Source organism: Homo sapiens, chromosome 4 (genome assembly GCF_000001405.40).
Source record: "Homo sapiens chromosome 4, GRCh38.p14 Primary Assembly".
Taxonomy (NCBI): domain Eukaryota; kingdom Metazoa; phylum Chordata; class Mammalia; order Primates; family Hominidae; genus Homo; species Homo sapiens.
The window spans coordinates 136194182-136213547 of record NC_000004.12 but is presented as its reverse complement, the minus strand read 5'-3'; the positions used below and the strand labels follow the sequence as shown (position 1 = coordinate 136213547).

The window sequence follows — 19366 nt, the reverse complement described above, 5'->3', positions numbered from 1 at the left end:
AATGATATTATTCATAAAAATATAAAAAAGAATACTGAAATGTATGTGAAACCACATAAAACATTGAATAGTCAAAGCAATGCTGAGCAAAAAGAACAAAGCTGAAGGCATCACACTACCTGACTTTAAAATGTACTATAAACCTATAGTAATTTAAACAGTATGGTATTTGTATAAAAACAAACACACAGACCAATGTAACAGAATATTATAGCTAACGATATCCATATTTTCTGATGAAGGTGTCAAGAAAATTGCAGATAGGACAGTGTATTCAATGAATGTTGCTGAAATAAAATGGATATCACTATGCAGAATAATACTAGATGCTGCTCTCTCACCATATACATACATCAATTCAAAATGGATAAAAGAATTAAACATAAGACCTGCAACTACAGGCTGGGTGCGGTGGCTCACGCCTGTAATCCCAGCACTTTGGGAGTCTGAGGTGGGCAGATCATGAAGTCAGGAGATTGAGACCATCCTGGCTAACATGGTGAAACCCCGTCTCTACTAAAAATACAAGAAATTAGCCACACGTGGTGGCGGGTGCCTGTGGTCCCAGCTACTTGGGAGGCTGAAGCAGGAGAATGGCATGAACCCAGGAGGCAGAGCTTGCAGTGAGCCAAGATTGCGCCACTGCACTCCAGCCTGGGTGACAGAGCAACACTCCTCAAAAAAAAAAAAAAAAAAAAAAAGACCTGCAACCACAAAAGTTCTAGAAGTGAACCAAAGAGAAATACTTGGTCAAGAAATAAACTTCAATATAGACCAATCAATTATATCAAACTCAACATTTTAAAAAATCTGACACAAATGGGCAAAGATTCCAAATAGAAACCTCTCAAAAAAAGGCATATAAATAATCAGAAAGTATATAGAAAAAAATGCTCAACATTACTTATAATCAGGGACAGGCAAGTCAAAACAACAATAAAATATCTTACTTCACAATGGTTATAAAAAAAATATGTAACTAACCTGCACAATGTGCACATGTACCCTAAAACTTAAAGTATAATTAAAAAATAATAATAATAATAATAGTAATAATAATAAAATAGCTCTGTGGACTCTGAAAAAAAAAATTAGCCAGGCATGGTGTTGCGCACCTGTAATCCCAAAAAGAAAAAAATAAAAAATAACAGTTGCTGGTGAGTATGTGGAGAAAAGTGAACTCTTACACTGCTGGCGGGGATGTAAATTATTAGAGCCATTGTGGAAAACAGTATGGAGGTTTCTCAAAATACTACAAAATAGAACTACCATATGACCAAACATTTTCACTACTTGGTATTTATTCAAAGGAAGGAAAATCAGTATATGAAAGAACTACCTATACCCTCATATTTATTATAGCCCTCTTCACCATAGGCAAGATATAGAATCAGCCTAAATGTCTGTCAACAGATGGATGGATAAAATATTATATATATATATGTACAACAGAATACTATTTAGCCATAAAAAAGAAGGAAAAGAGTGAACAAAAAGAAAGTTTGAAAGGGATTTCAAACAATCAAACCAAAAAGTATGTGATGTATGAACATTAGAAAAAATGTAGAGTGATGATAAGCCATTCAAGATTTAGATAAGGTCTTTTAAGCTGGGATAGATTTGGGCATATGGAATGCTACTGAAAAGGGCCAGGACATGGATAAATAGAGCCTATGTAAAGAAAAAATAACATGACATTGATAATAAATATTTATTCAATGGTAGGCTAAATGGTGAGGGTGGTGGCAGATAAAAATATTTTCATTATATTAAGAAGAGACTGAGATCTATGGAGAAAAAAAGAGCTTTATTTTTTATTAAAAAGAGGAATCTGCAGATTGGAGAGAATGAGACTTCACTGCAAACAGAAAATGTGCTTCAATGAGAGGTTGTAGAGTTAGAGATCATAAAGGTACAAAGTGCAGGGCAGGAGAGGGGAGTCAGGAGAATGAGGAATAGTCTTGATTGGATCATCTTTAAGCCTAAAATCACCACTCTCTTTTAATTGGCTGATTTCAGATGATCAGTCAGTTGGTGCTAGGTGGTCTGTGGGTGGTCACTTGGGAAATTTCCAGCCACATTAACCAGTTTGGCTTGATTATAAAGGATTATAAATCATTCTATTATAAAGACAATGCACACATATATTTATTGCGGCACTATTCACAATAGCAAAGACCTGGAACCAACCCAAATGTCCATCAGTGAAAGACTGGATAAATAAAATGTGGCACATGTACACCATGGAATACTATGCAGCCATAAAAAAGGATGAGTTACTGTCTTTTGCAGGGACATGGATGAAGCTGGAAACCATCATTCTCAGCAAACTAACACAAGAATAGAAAACCAAACACTGGATGTTGTCACTCATAAGTGGGAGTTGAACAATGAGAATACATGGACACAGGGAGCAGAACATTGCACACTAGGCTCTGTCGGGGGGTGAGGGTCTAAGGGAGGGATAGCACTAGGAGAAATAGCTAATACCTTAGGTGATGGGTTAATGGTTGTAGCAAACCAGCATGACACGTGTATACCTATGTAACAAAACTGCACGTTCTACACATGTACCCCAGAACTTAAAGTATAATAAAAAATAAAAATACAAATACAAATAAACAAACAGGACAATTTAAAAAAAAATAACTGTAGATATCATGTGTTTCTCAGATACACCTTCCATCAATTATTTGTTCTTTCTAAAGAAAGCATTACCCTTATGACTATTCCAATAAGGTTTGAGTTGTTAGTTTCAATGAATCTAAAGTTCTGTATATTAATATTTTACAGGAAAATTGGATGAGACTAATAGATAATCTTTAAAAGAAACTAACAAAAATCCTATTAACTACCGACAACCCTTAACTCTGCCTGCTTAAAGCCATTAAACTTTGGGAGAAAAACCAGATTGAGTGGAGATACCCCTCTTATGTTTATGGTAATGAATGCCTAAGAATACAGATAAACATATCTCCAAGTAAGCATGCGTGTGTTATTTTTGGCTTTGTGCTGCATTTCTATTACAAAAGCAATTAAGTATTAGAAATAATGCATTTAAATAACTTTTATGTCTAAGTAGATATATTGAAATGATTAATATATTACCTTTCATAGAATAATTATCACTGGATTTTATACTATATCACTGGATATAGTATAACAGCTCTCCCTTTTATACTATATGTAATGAACTTAATAATAATTAGAATAGAGAATTACATATCCCCTGTTTAAGAGTATGACTCTGAACAGTTAGACATAGATATACAGGTAGACATACATATTTTCAGTATCATACTGAAAATAATAAAAATATTTTTATTGAAAATTTGAGCAAAGATAGAGATGAATACATGGTATACTAACCAACAGATATCTCAGTCAGAACTTGGTATTAATCATATTGCACATGCTAAACATATTTTGCCCATGGGTTAAGAGTATACATCACTGTTTTTTACACTTACATCAGAGTAAAGGAGCAATGCAAATAGAATTTTTACAGGAACTGATTGTGGTCCGGTCCTCTGGAGAATAAATTATAGTGGTTTCTGGAGAAAAGGAATTAAATGTGTGTGGGTAAAAATTTTAGATCCCAATAGGGGTCATCAAAAATGTATAAACCATAAATGACTAGCAGACAAAGGTATCTTATTTTGCAAATGGAGAAGATATTAGTTGCATAATGAAAATAAAATGCTTCTCCTCCTCTCTCTCTCTGTTGAGGAAATTTGCCTCTGAATTTGGCCTTGAGATAGTTTATGCACACCAGTAAATGCAAGAATTAGCAAAGTATTTCTTTTTCAGAGCAAAATCCCTAAGCAGGAAGCAACAAACATTTTCTAGGAAATTTTTCAACTAAACAAAAGGCTAGGCAGCTCAAGTTAAGTTGGTTTGAAGTCTTAGCTTGTTATTTCCCCCAACAAACTGATTACTTGCATTGGAATTACAGAAATAGATATGCTGCCACTTCCTTTCTAAGATGAATGCTAATGTATTCTGCCTGCTAGAGCAATATTCAAAACAACCCACAAAATGAGCTATCAACCCATTTCAAAAACAGTTTGAAATCTACTCTGAATATTAGTCTACAAAATATAAATGCAAAATCTTATGGCTACCAGGAACTTCCAAAGGTCATTTAACATCCCAGCTTTCATATATTCTAAATGGAATAAACACATTCCATTATTCATTAGTTTATTCAACAGTATTTGATGTATGCCTGCTATGTGCCAGTCATTGTATTGTGGTCTGGACATAAAGAATGAATAAACCTAACTCTTACTATAAAGTTTTTGTCTGTGAGTTAGAAGGATCACGTTGGTTAATCATTTTTAAATGTTTTTATTTGATGTGATAAATATCGATTTTGAAATCACTGCAAAGTAATATGAGACTGATTTGGAAGGCAACCTAATTCTGCCTGAGAATTTAACACAGTTTAGCTGGATCTTGGCAGATGTTGGCATTTATTGGGAAAACGAGGATTTTCCAAAAGTAGAAATAGATGTAGATATAATCTTGCTTTATTTCTATTTGACAGTAATGCCTTAGAGGGATCCATCCCTCTCTCTGAAATGTGGCATTTTGGGGTTAAAATAAGTTTTCCACGACATTCCTGAAATAGTTGATCTATGGCTACACATCCTAGATAGCCTTAAGTTCTCTATTCTTCTAGAGGTGCAGGCAATTATTACATATTTGTCCTCTATAATTTCTCTTTTTCCTTTGACAATTCCTCCACAATTCACACTCCTAACTCCCATCTTCACTTGCTACTTCATAGAGAAAATTAAAAAAGTCAGAGGATAGCTTAGATTAATTTGTATCACTATATCAAACCATTTCTACTTCCAAATTCTCTAACCTTTCCTGATGTTCAAAATGTATAAGTAGTCAATGTTCCTAGCTAAGGCCAATCCTAACAGCTGTTCGCAACGTTCTTACTAATTGCTCAAAAACATTTCTCCAGGGCTTTTTACATCTCTCTCTCTTACATCGTAATTTTTCCCTTTTATTGAATCATTCCCTTTAGAATAAGAATTTTACCGTATTATAAATAAATGTTCTTATTTTTCTCCCATTCTTAAATAAATAAATCTTATGATCTCGTTAATTCATAGTCCATCTGTTTTTTATTTAATCTTCCGTAGAAAATGTCGGAGAAAGATTTGCCTGTAAACACACACCTTAATTTATTTCCTCTTTGTCTCTCTTGAATTCATTCTAATTAGATTTTCATGCCCACCACTCCACTAAACTGTACTTCTCGATGTCATTAATACTATTGCTAAAAACCTTGGTTACTTCACTATCTTCATTTATCTTATATTTTGATGGAATTTAACTAAGTTAATTTCTTTTCTTTCTTTGAACACTTTCTTTTCTTGGATTCTAGAAATTACTCTCATCTGGTTTTCCCAAATTTTTGTCCACTCCATCTCAATTTCCTTTGTTAGTTTATTAGTATTGCCCCACATTTAAAGATTGAAGTATCTCAGGTAGGGTTGAGACAATGGTGATGCAAATGACCAATTTATACATTTCTAGAATATTCTAATTAATTTTATTTGTTCAAAACTGCTATATATTTCATAGAACCTTTACTTCTTTTTAAAATATTAGATTGTACTTTATATCTTTACGTTTTGGGTATGTTTTTCTTGAATACCTTCCTTGTTAGTAGAGTTCAAATTTTGCTCCTATTATCTGTAAATTCTCTAAAAGATTTTCATGGGATTTGGTTGTAACCCTTTTCTATTCCTTCTTATATTCATTCTCAAGAGCAATGAGTTTCCGTATACTTTTAGGAGAGAGTAAGAATCATTGCCCTAGAGCTATCTTTACTCTCAGGTTCACAAAGCAATAGGGGGGAAAATCACATTTTTTGAACTGCCTTCTGTCCTTCTTTCCCCTGTATTTAAGTGAGCACCCTATTCCCTTCCCTAAACTATCCCTGTCCAATTCAACTTGTATTTTCCTTCAGAGTTTCTTCTGAGTAGAAACACTTTGGCTTCAAAGAAAGCTTTATTGTGTTAAATATCGGTATTTAAGTGTCTGCTGTATCCCAACACTCTTAGGCATTATCACATCATTGACCCTTTGAACTGACTTGAAAATTTTGTTAGAATAGAAACTGTTTTCAGATTGGTGCAATTTACTTTCAATTTGGGGATTTTCCTGACACTTTAATGAGATAACCAATTAGTTAACAATCAAATCTAAATGACAAAAACTTTCTTTCCCTGCACTATTTGTTGAACAAAAAATTGAAGTGGACATTCAAAGAACCAAGAATCTAAGACAATATTGACAAAGAATGAGTTGGCAGTAAGATGGACTTGCCCAACACATAAAAAACACAGGTTCTAATTCTAATGTGAAGATAATTGAGAAATTAGTTTATTCACAGAGGAATAGATTAATGGATCAGTGAAAGAAAGTAGGCAGCTCAAAAGTAAATAAATACACACTCAATTTCTGTCAGATCAGGCATTTTTAAAAAGTGGGAAACAAAGGAGTCATTAAATAAATCAAGGATAAATAATTGCTTAACTTTGTGATAAAAATGATATTTCATCACTGACACATGTCAAATAATTTCCAAGTATTTAAAAAATTTCATTATAAAGGCAAAATTGAAAAATGTAGAAGGAAATCTAAAAAAAACTTTTCTGACATTATTGCAAGGCAGGATTTGTTTAAAAAACATAAAAGACACAAGTGTAAAGGAAATTTGATCAACTTTACTATGTTAAGGTTAAGAACATCTGGTTATCAGAAGGAAAATAAAGTAAAAATTCGGGCCATAAGTTTGAAAAAAGCATGTATAGTAATTATTTCTTACACATAATTAATTTAAACTATCAAAGATGTACTATAAATCAGTATAAAAAGACAACTAAATAAAATATCAAGTTGATAGAAGTAAAATTTTTTTGTTGCCAAAACAATAGATAACAATAAGTCTTAAATAGTAGTCAATAAAATTTGGTGTTAATTTATAATTAATTAACAGTATAATTAGTTTTCTCAAAGAGGCCATAGTCTCCTAACAACTTTAACATTACATTAACTCATTAAAATGTAAAAGTTCTTACATTTCATATTTTTTTGAGGTGGAAAATTATCTTTATACTCTGGAACTCCATGAAATAATACTATAATATAAATTGTGAGAATTCTGTATGCAAATTAGATGTTCACTGTAAAGAATACACTAAGGTGTCACTACACAATATCTCCAAATTTTATACATAACTAATCATTCAGAGAGGAAGTTGTGTAATGTAATGTAAAAGTAGTTCATAATATCCACAATGTAGGCAAAATTGTATATTTCGTTTCATTTCTCTTTCTTCTTCCTGGAAAAAAAGAAAAAGTGAGCTCTGATAGTGGATTTGCAGCTTACTATGTTTCATAAATTGTTATGAAAATTCAAAATTTGGCAAAATATCTGCACAAGAGCTACTGAAGCCATAACACAGAGATATTAGTTACAGGAAACAAACAAAACATACAGAAAATTAATAATTTCATCGAGTAAATTTTGATGAGAAGAAAACTAAAGTAATTGACTTTGCTAAATTAATTGAGACATTATAAATAATTCACTTCGATAAATATGAATATGAATTTGAATCTAGAGTTGAAAAATATTAACTTATTTTTGCCATATGGTTACAATTACATTGGCACGTTTTAATTGTTTTCAAATACATAATGAACCTAAAAACACACTGCATAGCATTGTACTTTGGTTCATACATCAGGACTATTAATAGATTAAGAAAACTATTACTTTGGATTATAACTTTGACCTCATCCATGTCAATATCATATAATAAATGTCCCAACAATGAATAAAAAGCAGAATGCTAGGCCAGATGCTGACTGCAATCCAGAAGTCTTCTTTCTGAATAGAAGAGTGAAACTTTAGGCATAGGATAATAATTAACCTCTTCAGAATAGCTGCAAGCACATGTGAAGGCTGAAGGTGAGACTAAATGATTCCACATCCCATCCACTGATGCTACCCAGTCTTCTCTCTTCAAAGTTCCTTACTGTAAATATGTGTTTCTTCTCCAAACTTAGGGCTTCTAAGGCCAAAAAATGTATCTTACTATCTGTCTTAGTTAGTTGGGGCTGCTATCAAAGAATATCACAGACAGGATGAATTAAGCAATAAACACTTATTTCTCATAGTTCTGGACACTAGGGCCAAGATCAAGATGCATGCATATCTCGTATCTAGTGAAAGCCTGCTTATCATTTACTGACGGCTGCCTCCTCTTTGTACCTTCAAATGGTATGTGTAGAGAGATCTTGCACAACTTCCTCTTTTTATAAAGGCATTAATCCCATAATTAGGGCCCCACATCATGACCTAATCTAAATTTAATTACCCACCTTTAAATACCATCACACTGGGGATCAGGGTTTCAGCATATGAATTTTAGGGAGACACAAACATTCAGTCCATAGCACCGTCATTTTTATTCATTCTAACACCTACTTGTACTGCAAAAGATTTTTAAATGAAATATGGATGTTTGCCACATATTGAATTTCAAGTATGTCATTCCTCTGGAGTTTTCTCCAGCAAGATTTGAATTTGTTGGCTCTACCTAATGGTATTAATTTTAGATTATTTTTTCTCTCCACTCAAGATGATCTATAAAAACTTTTCCAGGCTTCTTAGATAATTTCCTTTCTGCAACTCTGTTTTGTCCTGTCACTTGCCTGTGAAACCCTAGTTTTCATATATTCTGGCTTAAATCAAAGGCCTAAGCATGCAAATTTTCAGGAGAGGAAATTAGAAACTAAGTTTAATTATTCTTACTTGTTTGTCATTACATATTTTAAAGGTTTTTATGTGTTCAATCTCCAACTCTGTTTTAGTAAATTAATGAGTTAATATATTGGCCTCTTATTGCTTTCATTGTACTCAGTAAAGAAACAATTTTATGTTTTGAAATTCCTTTATTCAGTAAAGAAACAATTTTATGTTTTAAAATTCCTTTATTAATATGTAGAATATAATATGATTTAGCTTCAACTTTTTACCCTTGTCACTTCATGAACTTGGAAACATGATAAATTAATAATATTGACCTATTTACTATTGAATTTATTTTTGTAGTTGAATATATTTGGCTTTTGTGAACTCTTCATTATAATTTGCATAATTAGTCCAGTACTCAAAACGGCAATTTAGCATTCATCTTCAGTTTTCATTGCAGTTAATTTTACCCTTAATTTTTTGATTTTTTCCTTTTTTGTATTAACTTCTTATAAATACCATATCTGTTGCTAATTACCATTTTCTATATGAAGGAAACATATTTTCTGACCTGTGCATTGAAACATAGCCAGTTAGCATTTGGTAGGGTCAGGGTTATATTTTTAGTCTATTTGGGCTGCTATTACAAACTAACATATACTGGGTAGCTTTTAAGCAACAGAAACTTATTTCTTGCAGTTCTGTAAGCTAGTTAGTCCAAGATCAGGCAAATTTGGTGTCTGCTGATGGTCAGCTTCCTGATAGACTGTTGTTTTCTCACTGTAACCCCACATCATGGAAAGGAAAAAGATTTCTCAGGCCTCTTTTATAAGGATACCAATCCTATGAGCTAATAACCTTCACACTTCTCACTTCCTAATGCCATTACCTTGGGAATTAGGATTTCAACATATGAATTTTGGGGGAATGCATTCAGACTACAGCACGTGTACTAAAAACAATACTGCTTTGTAGCCAGTGAGGTTCTCATTTTGCCTAGATGTTGGCATTTCATATGCTAGGGGGTATTATAAAACACACTTAATTTAATACATATTGATTATTTTCCTGTTATTTCTCCCTAGCAAGTCAAGTCTATTTTTGTGGGAGTTCAGGCAGGCTGGTGGGAAAAATTTTAAAAAGTTATAAGAAATAGACACAAACCTTCTTGGAAGTCCAGGGGGGTGGGTTGCATAACTTCAGTAATAGATCTGGCTGAAGGCAGCCTAATCCTCCTACCTTAAGTAAATAGCTTAAAGTAGGTACAAAGGAATGTAAGAGAGTTTATCTAAATAACTTGTTTACTCATGTGGTCCTAAAACTAACCTTTGTTCATTTGCAGGCAGGATGGCTCTCTCAGGGGGAGGGCAACCACGTTAATTACCCTGTAGTGGTGTTGACTTAAAGCCTTTGTCATTTGATGTGTGCTGAATAAATGCCAGCAGGCCCAGCAAGTCGGGGCTGCAGCTGCTACAACTCTTTTGGTCTGCAGCCTGGCCCCCTAGCCTGCTCTTTCACTGAATATTGGCGTCTGAGTATGTTGTTCATCCGTCATGCAGCTGGGGTCTGCAGGACAGACCCCAGCATATATTCATATATCTTCATTACAGAGTGGATGAGAAAAAATGATGGAGTACATTTTGTTGGGAATTTTTTCTTTCCTCTTCAAACTCAAACAACCTAGGCATCCAAACCATCACAAAGGGTTGTTGATTTTAGTTTAAATGTTTTTAAACATCATCCACTTTTAGTACACCCTAACAGGTAAGGCACACTGTCTTTTTCATATCATTTTCAATATCTGCTTTGCAGGTTCCTTTGCTTCCAGCTTTGATCCTCTACTGTCTGTTATATTCATTATGCCCTACTCATACTTCTAAAATCCAAGCACTAATATTTCACTCTAGAATATTTCAGTTGTATTCTTTTTCACTTTGGATTAATTCCAAACCCTTTATCGTGGTTTATGTGGCTTTTAATAAACTGGACTTTACCTACTAACACTTTTACTACTTAAAATCTCCATCTTACTACCAAAAACCTACTATCCTTAACCATATTTTGCTGCAGACATTATTAAAATTCTTCCATTTTAATAATCTTTAAGTGGACATTTATCAATCCACTTAAAATATGTCTAGTTGTGTTCTCTCTTCACAGAAAACTATCACTCAATTTTGTTTTCATACTTCCCCTCAACCTTATACACACTTGCCATGCCTTCTTCTTCTTCTTTTTTTTTTTCTTTTGAGTTGGAGTCTCGCTCTGTCACCCAGGCTGGAGTGCAATGGCATGATGTTGACTCACTGCAGCCTCTGCCTCCTGGATTCAAGCAATTCTCCTGCCTCAGCCTCCCAGTAGCTGGAATTACAGACACCTGCCACCACACCCAGCTAATGTTTGTATTTTTAGTAGAGACGAGGTTTCACCATGTTGGCCAGGCTGGTCTCAAACTCCTGACTTCTGGTGTTCCACCCTCCTCGGCCTTCCAAAACACTGGGATTACAGGTGTAAGCCACCATGCCCAGCACTAGCAATACCTTCTGCATGCCTAATCTCCCATCATCTTTCCTGTATCATCTTAAAATTTGTTACTTCACCAAGTACTATAGATTAAGTAATAACAATGCACATTTACTTTATTGTATATTTCTCTGTTTTTATTATTAAGCTGAGAAAGACACACGAAGTTTGGATTCATTCTGCCATCATTGGTTTCTAGCATTTGGCATCGTGTTTGATAATTTGGAAGTGCTTAATACATATTTGCTAAATGTTAAGTGGAAAGGATAGATTTTAAAAAGATATTTGTTTAGAGAGGTAGGGGTTGTATATCAGTAATAAATTATTAAGAGTTTATATCTAACCCTGGGGATGCGGCTTTAATTGTGTATTTTAAGTTTGGTGAGAGTACATCTCATGTGCTCACGACAGTAACACATGCACACACACAATGATTATAACGTCATGTGATGGATATGTCAATTAGCTTGATCATGGTAATCATTTTGTTACTGGAGGTCCTTGCTCACAGTGCTCCCAAGATGGTGGCGAGCCACTTCCAAGATGGTGGCAAGCCTTGTGTTCTCTGACCTGGGGTTCTTGGCTTCACCGATTCCAAGGAATGGAATCTTGGGCCATGTGGTGAGTGTTATAGCTCTACTAGAAGCCGTGGGTCATGGAAGAGAACCGGGGAACCCAGTGACTAGTGTTCAGCTCGATTAGGACGAACCCAGGCACTTAGCCGTGCAGGAACAATGGCAAGCCTTTAGCCAGATAGGGAGCAGCAATGGGTGCCTTGCTGGATCAGAAGCACAGCGGACACCCTGCCAGATCCGGAAGGATGGAAGCCAGCCGAGGGTCTGTGACGGTGGCAAACAGCAGTGGTAGACAGCAAGCGAAAGCTCAGCTCAAGCTGTAACAAACACGGAACAGAAGAGTGCAGTTGCAAGTTTTAATGGAATGAAATAGAGTGAAAACAGAGCTCCCATACAAAGGGAGGGGACCCAAAGGGGGTTTCCGTTGCCAGCTTGAATGCCTGGGTTTATATCCGGATCCTTGTCCCTCCTGCTGTGCTCTCAGGCAATAGATGATTGGCTATTTCTTTACCTACTGTTTTTGCCTAATTAGCATTTTAGTGAGCTCTCTGATTGGTTGGGTGTGAGCTAAGTTGCAGGCCCCGTGTTTAAAGGTGGATGGGGTCACCTTCCCAGCTAGGCTTAGGGATTCTTAGTCGGCCTAGGAAATACAGCTAGTCCTGTCTCTCAATTTTACAGTGCATGAATATATCAAGACATTGTGTTTTACACCCTAATGATATATAATTTTATTTATCAATTATATTTTTATAAAGCTGAAAAAAAATTTTCTAAGTGATCCTTAGTCAAACTGCAGTCAAGACAGAGTACAGCTTATTCTATGTAATGATATAGAACATTCACATGACTTTAAGTGGCTCTAGGTACACAGGCTTTTTGTATTTACTTACTATTGTATAAAGTGTAAGATAAAAATTCAGCCCTTGTGGTTAAATTCATTGTTTGGCCTCATTGGTATAATATTGGTAACAGCTTATTCATCCACTTCTCTCTACTTTCGTTGCCTGTGGCCACACAAATTCAAATGATGCTCCTCTCTTGCCTAAACTTCTAAATTAGTTTTGTGGTTGGTCCCACTGTCAGCCTTGCCCCCTTAGGAGTTCTCTTAATTCAGCAGTCATAACAGTATTTAAGAAATTTAAATCCAGACTTCTTAGACCCCTGTTTAAATATAACTTCGGCTATTCTTTCTGATAGAATGCTGTTCTTTTCCTTAACACATTTCTTACACATCTATTTCAAAATGTGCATTCATATATATATACACATGCCTAGCTTGTTTGTCTCCACATCTTGACTGTAAGCTTGACAAGGGCAAAAATTTGTCTTTTTTGACAACTGCATGCTCAGCAACAAGCACATAGCAGATACTCAATAAATACTATTGAATAAATATACTAGACAAAGTATACTTAATCTTCTTTATCAGCAAAGTTTTGTTACAATTGAAGTTCTCTAAAACGTTGGGTAGATAAAATAAATCCCATGTATTTAACCACATTAGTCAATAGTTCCAGGAAATTCAGAGTAATACAAGACAGTTCCCTATTCCATCCTTATTCCCCCTCGAGAACAATTTCCAAAAAGTACATTCAATGTTAATGCTTAGCACCTAAAATTGGTAGCAGCGGGTGTTTCGGCAGGCCTCACTATGGACTACAGTCTGATGGCCTGGGTCCCTGGAGCAGGGCTAATCTAGTAGAGGTTTTAACACCCGTCTTTATCAAGGGTTCAATGTCTATGGTCAAAAATGGAAGCTTATTTCTCCTTGACCCATCTACTTGAGACCCCCCTCACCAAAAAAAAAAAATTGATTGCAAAGTAGAGATACATATACATATACATGTTTTCAGTTATCAGTGGCTAATGAACACTAGCAGGCCTTATCTTTTAAAGAAGACCAACATCTGTACTTAATACAGATTTTATTTAAGCAATATAATACAGTACTTAAATCAGTCCTATTTATCATTCACTTTTTCTTAGTTATCATTTTTTTAGTTATAAACACTACCTACACATTTAGGAGAAAAACTCTTTAAGATTTTAATAAATTAAATGCCAATCACCCCTATAAGTAAGATTAAACAAGTAAAAAAAAGTTCTGTCTTAAACCTTTTTAAAATTGTATTATATACACAGGTGGGATAATTGGGTTGCTGACTAAATGCTAGAATAAATAACTGAAAAAAACTTTTTAGAATATTTGCCTTTTAAAATTATCTATGCTATGCTTTTCATTGACAGTATTGTTTCCTATGGATAAAAAACCTTCTTTCCATTTGGTTCAAGAGGTATTATTTTGAGAGTAGTGTGAACTATTACTGTGTGTCCTTGAAAACGTTCTAAATATATTTGGACTATCAGGTTGCTCTTTTGTTATTACTAGTTGGTAAAGTATATTTAGTCTCTGGTAACATATTATAGCACTCACGTTGTAAGACAGGTACAGATGTGCTTTAAAAAGTAAGGGTCACTCATTAATTTTGTACTCAAACTTCTATGAACTCTTCCTAATTTTTTTCTCACTAGTGTTAGCCAGACATTCTTAAACACAATTGATATTTAACCCTTCAGCCCTAAAACTGGTATTTTTCTCTATTTATGTAACTTCATAGAAAGAGATAAGGCTTTGTAAGTCAGGTAGGTGTGGTCAAACCTAGGCTCTGACAAGTTCAGAGTTACCTTGAAAATCTGTGTTAAACTGTAGGTATTCCTGCTGTCTTTCCTCTATGATACTAATGCCTACCCACAGGGTTGTTGTGAGATTTAGATGACAATGCAGTACACCCTTTATATCCACGGATTCCACATTTATGGATTCAACCACCATCAGATCGAAAATAAAACAAAAATTGCAACAATAAAAATAAAAATATAGTATAACTACTATTTACATAGCATTTATATTTTAGTAGGTAGTATAAGTAATCTAGAGATGATTTAAAGTAGAGAAGTCTGTCCATCAGTATCTGTGAGAGATGGTTTCCAAGTCCTCCCTGAGATACCAAAATCCGTGGATACCTAAGTCTTATTTAAAAATGTACAGTGTATGCATATAACCAATGCACACCCTCTTGTACATTTTAAATCATCTTTAGATTACTCATAATACCTAACATAATGTAAATGGTATGTAAATAGTTGTTACACTGTATCATTTAGAGAACCCTGGCAAGAAAAAAACTCTGTACATATTCAGTACAAATGAAATTCTTCCAAATATTTTTGATCAGTAATTGGTTGAATTCACAGATAAGGAACACATGGATAGAGGGCCCACTGTGTACAGGAGGATGTGCATGCGTTATATGTAAACATGATTCCATTTTATATATGGGAGTGGAGCATCAGCGGATTTTGGTATCCGTGGGTGGATCCTCGAACCAACTCCCTTCAGATACCAAGGAATGAATGTACATGTATATCAACAAATGTCAAAACTGTCACATATTAAGTGCTAATGGATAGCAATTATTTTTATTATTTCATTTTGTAAAGGTGAAACATTTTCGAGGCTTTCATATAAAGTCTGTATAAACTCATAGTGAATTCACCTTGAAGACTTAATTAAGATTCTACTGTTAATTCTTGTTAGGTCTTCCAAAATTGTCCATTGCAAAGCCATTTGTTTATTCTGGGCTCAGTTACTCATCTAGCTAGTTATTTCCATCTTTAGGACTCTATATTTTTCTCCTTCTTTTAAACTTTTGATGTTCTTATAATTGTATTCCTTATACCTAACATGACTATAGGTATGTTTGTGTATATATATATACACACACACACAAACACACTTATATATGTATGTTTGTGTGTGTATATATATACACACACACAAACACAATACTTTCTACACACAAGCTGTCTTTTAGCATGCAAAATCAGATGCTGTAATAACAGACATTCACTTTTCACATAAATATTTTGAATTATACATTTTATATTCAAAGACAAGGAGACCTCCTAATTATCTCAAAATAAAAGAAAAAATGTACTTTGTTCACAGTATAATTTTGTTTCTTTCCATGTAACAGAGAAAAGGGACAAAATAAAAGGAGCCACTCATAAGGTTTAAAAAAATTGGTTGTAATAGTGCCTGGCTTTTAAATCCAGGAAAATAGCAATGAAAAATCACAGTGATCAAATTTGGCCTGAATAAAGCTCTGTGTAATTAGTACATTACACATAATGATAATTATCTTGTATTTAATTTAATTTAATTTATTTATTTATAAATGACTGCCATATTGCGCCTGGATACTTTGCAATAATTAAAATAATTTTAAAAGTACAAAATGAGTCTTAAATTAAAAAGACTCACTAATTTCCAAGTCTGATAAAATAAGCTCAACTACTTAAAAGCCCAGAAATCTTATTTTCAGCCTGTACTGGGCTACGAATCCTGGCATATCTACTTCTAAGATAGAGTGATGTCCAGATACATAGGGATTTTACTAGTAATTCTATTTGAAGAGCCAAAATGTAAGTGGTGGCAAAATTTAACTGTGAAAACATGATTATAGAAAAATAATTATAGAGCTATATCCCTAAGGGATTGTTTTTTAATAATTTCATTTATCAACTATAAAATGAGGACCTGCTATACATTAGACAATATCCTCTGTACTACAGAGATAATTTTTCTTCAGGTATGTTTTTCTTATACTCATTGTTCTTAAACTCTTACCCAAACGGTAAGATTAAATCAAATTGTGTTAGAATAACAAAGTGGTATTAGAAAAACTACCAAATAATGAAATAACATTTCAAAGAGGAAAAACATTAACTCATTAAAAACATTAAATCTGGCTTAATATAAGAACTAAAAATTTGTATTTCTTAATGAGATTATAGTAAATATTAAGTAATAGCTAGAACATCAAATATCATATAGATTGTAAACAAAAAAATATATAAAGATTTAGATTAGGGCAAGAAGGATATTACAGTCCATAATGGATAAACACATATAAACTAGGATAATGTATATGCAGAGAATATAATATTTTAATGATTCTTAATAGAAAAATATGAGAACTGATTTTAAGATGATGGCATTTTAAGATTGGTATTTTGTTTTATTTATATTTTCCAAATCTAGGCTCTTATGCTCAGGTGAGTAGCGAGACACAGTTTAGCAAATTACAAATTCCTGAGGTCAGTGAATCCTAGAGGAAGGTCACAGGTGTCTTCTGAGCAGAAGAATAGGGGTTTATAAAAAATCACAGTGAACTGTTGTATTCATCAAGACTCTTTGCATGAAAACAACATTGAGAACATTGGAAGAAAACAGTTCATATGCTATGTTGAATGGCAACATTCCTGAAGTATTAAAGGAAACTCAAAACATTTATCATAGCAATAATTTTCTTTGTTGTCAAGTTGTTTTTCAATGCTAATTCAAATTTACTATTCTAGATTAATAAGAATTTCACTTTTGTAATCTTTTAAGAGCATAATTGATTTAATGAAATTAAACCACCTAAAAATACATTCCCTCTCTTCCATCAGTTTTTGATTCTTGCCATTTCTGATCCCTGGTCATCATGTTAAAAATAAAAGCAAATGCAAGGACAATTATGATGATTTTGAAGAAAACACTATTTAAATGCTATATGTGTAATAATAATAATAATAATAATAATAATGAACATTCATATAGCTTTCATAGTGTGCAATCTTATCAACATGCCAACACTAAAACCCTAAGAGGTAACACTCATACATTTGACATTTGGTCACAAAGGGATACGTTTTGTGTCAACAAAATTATGTCCTCTTCTGTAAGATAATTCCATTAGCACATCTCAGGGCATAGGTTATTAGAAAATGTAATACTTAAAAAAAGCTGAGGTTAATTTTGTTCCATTTAGTTTCTTGTATTGTTGGAAATGAATAGAAATCATGTATTTGTCTGATTTGTCTGCATGATTTTGATTTCACAATATCAGAGTAGTAAGCCATCAATATTTACTGCAGTGTTTTCCAATAGGGAAAAATATTATAAAGATAAACATGCATAACACTTATAAATGAGGCAAGATTTACCAGCAAGAAAAACTGAAAAGTGGAGAAATTACAAAGTTTCATTAATTATTTCAGGAAAATAAGAAATTATTTCTTATTGGAAATATAACTCCAAACTTGTATTCTTGGTAGTCAATTCAGTTATTCAACATTGGAGAGTGCCTCTTCCAAGAAACCCTGGTGTCTCTCCTGGATTGATTATAAAGGGCCTGCAAAACAGGTATTTTTGTTTTTGACTTATGTTCATCTTATCACAGTAGTCAAGAATTAAAAAACAAAACAAAAAACCAAAGTCAAATCATGGCATTCCTCACCTTAGAACCCTTCAATGGCTGCTCTTTCATTTCTAGTAAAAGACCATGTCATTGCTATGATCCGTCAAGCACTATAGAACCTTCACCCACTTATGCTTTGTTTCTCTCACCTCAGTCCTTGCTACAGGCTTTCTCACTTGCTGTTGTCATAGCTGTCACCTTATTGTTCTCCAAACCCACTAAGTATGTTGCTATTCTCCATGCCTTGAATATTTTGGCCATTTCCCTAGATATCTGGAGACCTGTTTCTTTACGTCCTTAAGTCTTTACTGAAAATGTTACCTTGTGTGAAAAGTTTTGTGATGAACTTATTATAAATTGTGCTTCTCACACACATCCTAAACAACTTGTTCTATAATCCCTCTTAGCAGTATTATTTTCTAACATATTATATATTTTTTCTCATTGTGGTGAAGCATATCATTGTTTTTAAATATTCATTATTTACCCCAGGGAAGATTATACTTAATAAATCTGTTGACATTAGTTTTAGACCTATGACTTGTTTAGGATGACAAATTATGAGCAAAATTAATATAAGTAAATCTAGGCAGAAGCTTAAATAATCACTTTGTGCTTTTCCACTTTTTAAACACTGACACTATGACCATTAGTGTTCAGATTAAGTGGCAATTTTAGCCTTAGTTCTCATATGGAAAGCTGTAGAGCAGAGCTACTATTGACCCACATTGCACACATAGCAGAAGAAAGAAACAAATATTTGTCATTGTAAAACACTGATAATTTAAGATTTCATCAGTCAGGATCCAGTCACAAGTTAATCAAATGGAAATTTTAGTATTAAAAATATTAATAATGAATTGGAGTAATGGAATATTGACTAGTGCAAGTTAAAGATAATTCTATTTTATTTTATTTCTTTTTTTTTTTTTTGAGACAGAGTCTCACTCTGTCACCCAGGTTGGAGTGCAGTGGTGTGATCTCGGCTCACAGCTAACTCTGCCTCCAGGGTTTGACTGATTCTCCTGCCTCAGCCTCCTTAGTAGCTGGGATTACAGGTTTGCACCACCGCACTTGGCTAATTTTTTGTATTTTTAGTGTAGATGGAGTTTCACCATGTTGGCCAGGCAGGTCTCAAACCCCTGACCTCAAGTGATCCACCCACCTCAGCCTCC

The 19366-nt window shown here is 33.7% G+C and overlaps 1 annotated feature.

Moving 5' to 3' along the window:
* Positions 9867 to 10534: an enhancer, noted in NCBI's record as "OCT4-NANOG hESC enhancer chr4:137124169-137124836 (GRCh37/hg19 assembly coordinates)". NCBI's record gives its function as "activates a minimal SCP1, AML or CMV promoter by ChIP-STARR-seq in naive H9 embryonic stem cells {active_cell/tissue: H9 hESC(naive)}" and the evidence as "EXISTENCE:reporter gene assay evidence [ECO:0000049][PMID:30033119]".